Source organism: Homo sapiens, chromosome Y (genome assembly GCF_000001405.40).
Source record: "Homo sapiens chromosome Y, GRCh38.p14 Primary Assembly".
Lineage (NCBI taxonomy): Eukaryota > Metazoa > Chordata > Mammalia > Primates > Hominidae > Homo > Homo sapiens.
This window is the reverse complement of record NC_000024.10, coordinates 12,321,234-12,331,538: the sequence shown is the minus strand read 5'-3', so window position 1 is coordinate 12,331,538 and position 10,305 is coordinate 12,321,234. Positions and strand designations below refer to the sequence as shown.

Genomic DNA, 10,305 nt, shown 5'->3' with positions numbered 1-10,305 from the left:
TCCCAGCTACTCAGTAGGCTGAGGTGGGAGGATTGTTTGAGCTTGGGAGGTTGAAGCTGCAGTTTCACTACGGCCTGAGTGACAGAGCAAGACCCTGTCTCAAAAAAAATTGTTTTTAAAAGAAGATATCTGTTTAATGGTAAACGAAGTAAATAAGAAATAATAAAGATAAAAAGAAAAAAGAAAAACAATTTAAGTAAACAAAACAGCAACAACAAACAAAAAGGGTCGAGCGCGGTGGCTCACGCCTGTAATCCTAGCACTTTGGGAGGCCAAGGCAGGCGGATCACGAGGTCAGGTGATGGAGACCACGGTGAAACCCTGTCTCTACTAAAAATACAAAAAATTAGCCGGGTGTGGTGGCCGGCGCCTGTAGTCCCAGCTACTCGGGAGGCTGAGGCAGGAGAATGGCGTGAACCCGGGAGGCGGAGCTTGCAGAGAGCGGAGATCGTGGCACTGCTCTCCAGCCTGGGTGACCGAATGAGACTCCGTCTCAAAAAAAAGAAACAAAAAGAAAAAGGCGGGCGTGGTAGCTTGGCTCATGCCTGTAATTCTACCACTTTGGGAGGACGAGTTGGGTGGATCACTTGAGCCTAGGAGCTCCGGACCAGCCTGGCCAACATGGTAAAAAAAAAAACACAAAAATTAGCCAAGCGTGGTGTCGCATGCCTGTAATCCCAGCTGCTCGGTAGGCTCAGGCAGGAGGATTGCTTGAACCCAGGAGTGAGCAGTTGAAGTGAGGCAAGACGGCACCACTGCACTCCAGTCTGGGCAACAAAGCGAGACTCTGTGTCAATAATAATAATAATAATGATAAGATAAAAAATATAAATAAGCAAAAAAGAAAAAGATAAAAAAAGGATTATTTTCAAGCAATGCTTCATGTAAAAAAATAGAAAAGATGGGCTGAGTGCCATGCCTCACACCTGTAATCCCGGCACTTTGGGAGGCCAAGGTGGGCGGATCACCTGAGGTCAGGAGTTAAAAACCAGCCTGGCCAACATGGCAAAACCCTGTCTCTACTAAAAATACAAAAATTAGCTAGGTGTGGTGGCACATGCCTGTAATCCTAGCTAGTGGTGAGGCTGAGGTAGGAGAATCACGTGAACCCGGGAGGCAGAGGTTTCACTGAGCTGAGATTGTGCCACTGCACTCCAGCTTGGGTGACAGAGTGACTGCTTCCCAAAAAAAGAAAAGACCAAGACCAAGAGGGCAGGAAGCAGTTTCTGAGGCACTGCATGATCATTGTTGGGAAGTTACTCTATGGAAAGTAACCCTATGCAATGGTCCCTATTATTCAACCATCCATGACCTACAAGGACAGGGTTTCATAGAGTTCCACCTGCCGTCTCTTCACAACTTCATGTGCAGCCATATGCTGGGTCTGTGAAAAGTCACATAGCCTACCTTATGTGGGGGTGGAAACTACTCTACTTCTAGGATGAGGAGCTGAAACGCTGGCACACTCTGGACTGACTCATTTTTACAAGTAAACGGTTTTGATGGTGTGTCTCAAAATTAGTATTAGGAGGGACATCAGAAATGCTTCTTTTCCCTGCCACAGGTGTGTGCCTTAATGGTAATTGCTTTTACTTTGTGATTTTTGGCAACAAATCTTAAATCATTTCCTCACAGGGGGCCTAAAGGAATGTTTTCACTTATATTTTAAGTTATCTATTCATATTTATTATATATAATATAGTATAACTTTTTGTTTTTTTGAGATGGAGTCTCACCCTGTCATCCAGGCTGGAGTGAAGTGGTGCTATCTCAGCTCACTGTGACCTCCACCTCCCTGGTTTAAGCGATTCTCCTGCCTCAGCCTTTGGAGTAGCTGGGGTTACAGGTGTGTGCCACCACACCCGGCTAATTTTTGTATTTTTAGTAAATGTGGGGTTTCATTAAGTTGGCCAGGCTGGTCTCCAACTCCTGACCTCAGGTGATCCACCCACCTTGGCCTGTCAAAGTGCTGGGATTACAGGCGTGATCCACTGTGCCTAGCTGCATAATTTTTCATTATTAAAATATGCATGTTTTTCTTTGTAAAAATAAATAAAATAGATATAAAAACATGCTTTTAAACATATATGTACATATACCTAAATGTGTACATATATGTACACATACATATAAATACATGTTATAAATGCACATGTAAATATAAATGTATAACATATAAGCATATATACATATATGTACATGCTTATGTTCACACATGTGTAAATGTACATGTATATAATGTATGTACATGCATGTAGATAACATATAATACATATATCCATAACATGCACATGCATGTTTACACAACATATACACATACATATAAAACATGTGTATATATATACATAACATTAATATATGTACATTTTTAAATAAAAATGTTTATATGTGCATGTATAGTACACATATATATATAAAACATACATATATACATTATGTATATGTACATCATTTTTCAAGGAAAAGCATATTATGGGCTGCTTCTGACTTGCCTGGGGAACATGACTGGTTGTATTTGTTTTATCTGGCTGGTATATTGGTGTCTAAATAAACGACCCTCAGTCATTGTTAAAAAGTCATATGACGTACGGTTAGATATCAAGTCTGTGGCCTAACTCTGAAGTGATGTATTTCTCTATTTAGTGACACAATAAAAGCAGATTTTTCTTTTCCAAAGAACTCTGCACTTTAACCTTTAGAATGTTACACATTTTGCTCCAGATTGAGTTTTTGCTACTGAATAAAACTTTCTATTTTTTATTCTAAAGATACAAGATATCTTCAGAAAGTTACAAGAGGCTGGGCATGGTGGCTCACACTTGTAATCCAGCACTTTGGGAGGCTGAGATGGGAGGATCACTTGAGGCTAGGAGTTTGAGACCAGCCTGAGCAACATGGCAAGATCCTGTCTGAATTTAAAATAAAACAAAATGATAAAATATAGAATGCAATAAAATATAATACAATACAATAAAAAGAAAGATAAAAGAAGCAGATGAGGAAACACCCATGCGAGACTGACAAGGTAGCCTTTGATTCTCTTCCAGGGAGAAGGAATCACAACCTTCCATTCCTGCCCTGATCTCTAGCCCTGGGCAGTAAGCCTGTCTTCAGCGCTTTGCCTGGGCCCTGTTCCCAAACCCAATTTTGCTTTTCATCTCCAGTATCTCCTCAACGTTCACTGCATGTACCTTCAGCATCTCTAAGACAAGAATCTAGTGTGGATGCAATGCCTCCCATTTGGTACATCTTCCCTTGTTGATTTTTCTTACACATTACGTTTAGAAATCTCCCATGTAAAATATGTACTTGACATTTTCATTGATTATTATTATTATTTTGAAAGGAAATTGCTTATAAAACATTGACAGAAAAGATGCAGTTTGAAAAGACGCAGTTTGGCGCAAACGAGTGTTCTGTTGAGAATAAGCCGTGGAGCATCTCTGCAGGAGCAAAAGCTTGCCTGTAAGAAAAAGCCCAAGAAAGTCCAGTTACCTGACATGCAGTTCTGTCAGGGCCAGGCCAGCTGGATTTAGCAGGGAGGCTGCTCCTCAGAAGAAACGTCTTCTTCCAGCCAAAACAGACACGCACTGGCTGTTTTGGCAGCACTGAACGTCTGGGTCACACATGTGCACAGTTGATTCAGTCTGAAAAGCAAAAACAGGAATTCTGGAGAAACCAAGCTAGGTTATCCCAGGAACAGATCAGGCAAGTCCCCAAGGAATGTACTGCTGGCTCTCTGAGGCATCCATAAAAGACCCTCTGTAGGGGTGATCAGACCCAACATGAGGTCGTGGGGGTGACAAAGTCCAGCAGAGTCAAAGGAATGAGAAAAAGATAGTTGGAGAGAGAAAGTGGGACGAGGGGGCCATTGCAAGTGTGGAGGATGCGAAGGCCCTGAGCTCTGGGAGCCCACCCTATTTATTGCTGCTCAAACAAATAAACAGGTGGTGAGGATGTGGGGGTTGAAAGGAAACAGTGTACAAATGAATGAGAAACATATGGCTGCTTGAGATAATGGGAGTGCTAGAAGCAAGGAGCCAGCAAGTCTAGCAGAAATGCAAGCCCTGCCTCAGCTTCTCTCCCAACACTCAGCTTTTCTCCCAACATGCCCCCCTTCTCTTTTTCATAAAAACCACCACAGCTGTCATTATTATTAGCATAAGGTGGCCTTTTTTAAAATTAATTGAGCAAGGCAATTGCAGGCTGTGTAGCCCTTAATTGCCGGTTGGTGATCCAGCTTCATTTTTCTTAGACCTTATTCAAAATGGAGTTGCTCTGGTTTGAACGTTTCCTACATATCTCCCCTTTCCCTTTTACAAGAGAACCTTTAATGTTAGCGGTTTCAGGAGGATGAAGGTCCATCTTCTATAACTTCTTCTTGCTGAATAGGGGTGATGATACTCTTGCCTGCCTATTAGGGTCTCTTGTATTCACGGTAGAGAGGAGTTCAGTTAAAAAGCATTGATCAGTTAAGCATAGGTAAAACCCTGGCACTCCAGTAGTTTCTCAGCATGGCTTGGTGAACCTGGTCCGTGGTTGGGATCCATGGGTCCTTCCAGTCCCCTGTTCCATGGTTGTACACATCTTGAGGGCACCTACATGGTTTGTGTCTCCTGCAAAAACACAAGCATACTTTCACCCCCATGTTAGTAAATCTACTGAAACAGAAGCAAAAACTTTTGTGGCTGTAGCCAGGAGGCATGCCATTGTTGAAGCATTTGTAACTCAGCCTCTGCCTCTTTGGTTAATTACCATGGGATAAAACTTACCATTGATAATGAGAAGCAGGCCCCTTCTGGCAAAAAGCACAGAGAACACAAATTGAGGCTTAAAAGCAATCCTTAAACCTCTTCAATTTGCACTGTACAGGTGGATCCACTAGATGCTGTGATTCATGGTAGATCTTCAGACGTTTGGTGGGCACCCACACAGGTACCTGATTGTCACCTGGAGAGACAAAAGCAAATCCTCTTCCCCATAAAATTATCTTTCCTTTTCCCCAGCTCTTTGTATGTTCATCCCTCCACCATATATCTTGTCCAGCCTTTTTCTTATCCTTTTGTCCCATCAGGTGTTGTTCAGCTGCAGTCATGGGTTGATCTTTTTGTAAATTAAAAAAACTTAATGTTAATAAAGCTAAATGCAATTGCATATGTGGTGTCTTATATTCCTGGTCCCCTCCCTTTTGCTTTTGTATTTGAGTTGTTAAAGTACGATTAGCTCTTTCCAGTATTGCTTGTGCTTGTGAGTTATATGGAATACCCATAGTATTGAGAGGTGAAGCCAGCTGGGCTTCTGGGTTGGGTGGGGTCTTGAAGGACTTTTGTGTCTAGCTAAAGGATTGTAAATGCACCAATCAGCACTCTGTGTCTAGCTAAAGGATTGTAAATGTACCAATCAGCACTGAGTAAAATGGACCAATCAGCAGGATGTGGGTGGCGCCAAATAAGGGAATAAAACCTGGCCACCCAAGCCAGCAGTGGCAACCCGCTTGAGTCCCCTTCCATGCTGTGGAAGCTTTGTTCTTTTGCTCTTCACAATAAATCTTGCTGCTGCTTACTCTGTGGGTGTACATTACCTTTATGAGCTGTAACACTCACTGCAGGGGTCTGCGGCTTCATCCCTGAAGTCAGCGAGATCACAAACCCACCAGGAGGAACAAACAACTCTGGATGTGCCACCTTTAAGAGCTCTAACACTCACCGCGAAGGTCTGTAGCTTCACTCCTGAAGTCAGTGAGACCACGAACCCACTGGAAGGAAGAAACTCCAAACACATCAGACGAGATCGGGCACGTTTAGGGTGGTACGGCAGTAGACTCCAAACACATCTGAACATCTGAAAGAGCAAAATCTGGACATACCACTTTAAGAACTGTAACACACACCATGAGGGTCTGCAGCTTCATTCTTGAAGTCAGCGAGACCAAGAACCCACTGGAAGGAATAAATTCTGGACACTGTATGGGTAATGTTCTATTGTTGAAAAAATATAGCCATGGCTTTACAACAGTATCCTGGGCTGTTATCGGTTTTGATTTTTTCTGGGATTCCCATAACTGAAAAGTTAGATAAAAGGTGTCTTTTAACATGAGCTGTAGCTTCCCCTGTTTAACATGTGGCCCGATAAAATGTCAATAGGTATCTACTGAAACATGAACAAAGGACAGTTTTCCAAAAGCAGAAATATTTGTTACATCCATCTGCCAATGGAATTTGGAGATTAACCTCTTGGGTTAACTCCTGTTCCTTGATGTGGCTGATGCAGGACTTGGCAGGCAGAACAGTGTTGCACAATTTCTTTAGAACAGTAAAAGCAAATTTTTCATAATCTTGGGCAGCTAGAGGAATGGTAAAAAAAGCAATACTTTAGATCTATTACTGAGAGGCCACTATTTAGGCATCATTGTTGGGGAGGGCAGCCTGGTTGTGAGAGGTGAAACTGGCTGGGCTTCTAGGTTGGGTGGGGACCTGGAGAACTTTTCTGTCTAGCTAAAGGATTGTAAATGCACCAATCAGCACTCTGTGTCTAGCTAAAGGTTTGTAAACACACCAATCAGCACTCTGTAAAAATGCACCAGTCAGTGCTCCGTGTCTAGCTAAAGGTTTGTAAAAGCACCAATCAGCACTCTGTAAAATGAACTAATCAGCACTCTGTAAAATGGACCAATCAGCAGGATGTGGGCAGGGCCAAATAAGGGAATAAAAGCTGGCCTCCCAAGCCAGCAGTGGCAACCCGCTCGGGTCCCCCTCCACATTGTGGAAGCTTTGTTCTTTTGCTCTTCACAATAAATCTTGCTGCTTCTCATTCTTTGGGTCCACACTAGCTTTATGAGCTATAACACTCACTGCAGAGGATTACAGCCTCACTCCTGAAGTCAGCGAGACCACAACCCACCAGGAAGAATGAACAACTCCATATGCGCCACCTTTAAGAACTGTAACACTCACCATGAAGGTCTGCAACTTCACTCCTAAAGTCAGCAAGACCACGAACCCACTGGGAGGAATGAACAACTCTGGATGTGCCACCTTTAAGAACCCTTAACACTCACTGCGAAGGTCTGCAGCTTCACTCCTGAAGTCAGCAAGACCATGAACCCACCAGAAGGAAGAAACTCTGGACACATCTGAACATCTGAAGGAACAAACTCTGGACACACCATCTTTAAGAACTGTAACACTCACCGCAAGGGTCTGCAGCTTCATTCTTGAAGTTAGCAAAGCCAAGAACCCATTGGAAGGAACCAATTCTGGAGACAGTTGTAGCACAACCATGGGTTGAATCACAGGATTAACAGCCCTTAAATCTGTTAACATTTTCCATTTCCCTGATTTTTTTCTTAATGACAAATACAGGAGAATTCCAAGGGGAGAAAACAGGCTCTGTATGTCCCTTTTGCAATTGTTCCTGCACCTGTTCTTTTAAAGCCTCCAGTTTTTTCTGTCTCAGCGGCCATTGCTCCACCCAAACCTTGGCAGTTAGCCAAACAGGAATGGGAGTTGGAGGCTTAACGAAAAATGATACCACAATCTGGTCCAATCTGTTGGCCCTTTTAATTCTAAAGATTCTGATTGGCCAATTATCATTTTATAGTCCTTTTCCCAGGTGATATCCCATATTTTTCATCATTTGTCTACTATTATTACTCTACTGATCCATAGGAATAGAAATTTCAGCATCCCATTGTTGCAATAAGTCTCTACCTCATAAATTAACAGAAATAGATGTAATGATAGCCTGAATTGTCTCTTCCTGACCATCCAGCCCTTGACATGGTAAAATCAAGGAAAACTGAAAAATTTCTGAGGCAGCTTCTACTCTAACAATACTGATGGTTGCCTTTTGCTTAGGCCAGTGCCAGGGCCATTGATTTATAGCAATACTAGAGACATCAGCTCTAGTATGTACTAGTCCTTCAAAATATTTTCCCTGAATAGTTACTGTGCAAATAGGTCTTTTGTCAGACACTTGATTAATCCAATACACAGCTTTTCCTGCGGGTTAAGTATTACCAAAGCCTCCTGTTTTTTTCATTGTGCTGCTTCCTAGTTTCATGTAAGGTAACAGCAACAACTAAGCAATTCTTTCCCCTGGAGAGGCAGACCACAGATTTGAGGAACTAATAATTAATTGAATTTCTCTGGTATAGTGAGAGTCAATTAATCCCTTATGCACAGTAACACCTTTTAAATTTAGACTAGAACTTCCAAGAAATAAACTGACTGTTCCTGAGGGTAAGGGTCCGCTAACTTCTGTGGGGACCTTCTCTGGTGGCTCCCTAGGAAGTGTGAACTAAAAGGTGAGTTACATACATGTTTACAAAACACAATTGGACATTTTCCATTATTTTGAGATAAACCAAAATAAACTTTAAAGTTTCATTTGGAGATTTAAAAGCTGAAAATACTTTCAGCAAATTCTTAGATCTTAAGAAAGTATATATAGTCCATTGTCTATAAAATCATTTGCCTTTTTGATCTAAAAATTTTAATACTTGAATTTAATAGGTTTTTCTTCTGGAAAAGTTCTTTGGCATTCAAGTAAAATCGATATTTTCAGAGTAGTCACTTGCATCACACTGGAATGACTGCTTTAATTTCTAAATCATAAGTTAGTGTAACCCAGGGATACTGATGGCCTTGATACATAATTTAGTCTTGTTACTATACTGTGTGGTAATAAGGGCTTTGGGGGGCATCATCTGACCCCATTTCTTTTTACCACAATGGTTCCTGCTACAATGTCATAGGCTATTCAATTATGCGGAAAAAACAGCAGTGTGATGCAATCAGGGAAAAAAGAAGCTATACAAAAATTTTTGATCAAAGCTCATATAGCAGACATTGTAATGCTAACAGTTGAGGAAGGAATCACTAAAACCTGACTTGGTGCAATAAGCACTACTAATATATCACATGTCACAACTCGAAGCCCCAGCAGGAACTTCCCTGGGGTAGATCCACCTGCTCCCCAAATGCAAATTATCTCATAAAACAAACAAATAATCTGTATATAAGAGCCACAACCATTATTTTCTGCAAGTCTTCCATTGATCTGTCTTCATCTATTTCTTCCATTATATAATGCATAGCAAACTTAGAGATATCATTTATCCCACTGAGGTGCATAATGCTTAAGACAATTGTTGTTTTCACAAAGGAAAGAATAAAGAAATCCATCTTCTCTGTCATAAATCTGTGGCCCAAGGATGGAATAATGTATTCTCTGCCTGCCTGTCACCGAGGGTCACTTGGGCTTCTCAAAGGGGCTGTAGATCCTCCCTTCATCACTGGAGTGGCCTGGACTGATGGCTACACATGAGGAGCCCAGGGTCCCAGGCCTGCAACTGGAGCAGGGGTGCTGATGCCAGCAGCTGTCCCCAGGTCAGGCCCGGTACAGTAGACTGGAAGTAGAAGGGTTTATAATAGCCCATGTGCAGGGATGGTGGCACTGCCCGAAGGGAAGCTCTGTGGGAATGGTTGGGGCCTGCAGCAGGCAGGGAAGGTGGCTGGGCCACTGCACCAGGTGACATAGCTGCAGCAGAACTCCGACAGCCAGTCATGCACTTGCCAGGAGCACTCTTGGGTGCTCAGCTGCCCCCCTCTCTCCCACGGTGCCAGTGCCTTGGGCACTTCACAGCCTGCCTGCCCCTGCAGCCCTGCACCAGAGCTGGAGGCTGCCTCCCCACACTTCCTGATCTTGCTGGGCAGCTCTGATTTGTTGGTGGTGGCAACTGTGAGGCTGGGGGCTGTGGGCCAGCCCAGGGCCTGGGGTTCAGCCTGGGGTTGACACGGGGGCATGGGACAGTGGCAGCAGAAGGGCCTCTCAGGGAAGGGATGGGCTTGTGGTCCTCTCTGCCCTTGTCATGACTGGGAGAGCAGCCTCAGGCTTCCTTGGGCACCTCTGCCATTGTCACCTCAGAAGCACCCTCCATGGTATCTGTCACTGCTCCATCTTGATACGCCTTTTTAAAATCTCTTCCAATTCTCTCCCATTCATCCAACTCCATAGTCCCCTGTTCAGGAACCATGGGCAAAACTTCTTTACTGCACTAAAGAGTGATAATAAATTCTGAGTATTTGCAGCAGGATAATTAAGGAATCAGAGAGACCTAGGGGTTGAGGAGGAATTATTTAATTATTTAGGTGCACCGACCCAGTCAGATTAACACCGAAAGAACTGAGCTGTGAACAGAGTCAAGCTACCTTTTAAGCATTTTGTGGGGTTGGAGGAGATCTGTGCAGGGTGAGGCATATTACAGAAGAGAGAAACAAAGACAGTTATTCAATTGAGATATGC

The 10,305-nt window shown here is 43.0% G+C and overlaps 1 pseudogene, besides 4 other annotated features; it reads right to left on the bottom strand.

Annotated features, from left to right (window-relative positions):
* On the bottom strand, positions 8,282–9,962 carry FAM8A4P (family with sequence similarity 8 member A4, pseudogene; annotated as a pseudogene).
* Positions 10,068–10,305: part of a biological region, named in NCBI's record as "AZFa HERV15yq1 recombination region", that runs on past the window's edge. NCBI's record gives its function as "recombination_partner: LOC108004538".
* Positions 10,068–10,305: part of a meiotic recombination region, noted in NCBI's record as "meiotic double-strand break mapped by DNA meiotic recombinase 1 chromatin immunoprecipitation followed by single-stranded DNA enrichment and sequencing in the germ cells of some male individuals with PRDM9 A/A and PRDM9 A/B genotypes", that runs on past the window's edge. NCBI's record gives the evidence for it as "EXISTENCE:chromatin immunoprecipitation-seq evidence [ECO:0000229][PMID:25395542]".
* Positions 10,094–10,305: part of a mobile genetic element, noted in NCBI's record as "direction; forward", that runs on past the window's edge.
* Positions 10,257–10,305: part of a non allelic homologous recombination region, noted in NCBI's record as "sub-region ID2 (identical sequence 2), recombines with sub-region ID2' (identical sequence 2') within the AZFa HERV15yq2 recombination region", that runs on past the window's edge. NCBI's record gives the evidence for it as "EXISTENCE:DNA dot blot assay evidence [ECO:0005522][PMID:1634226]" and "EXISTENCE:nucleotide sequencing assay evidence [ECO:0000219][PMID:11030762, PMID:11001932]".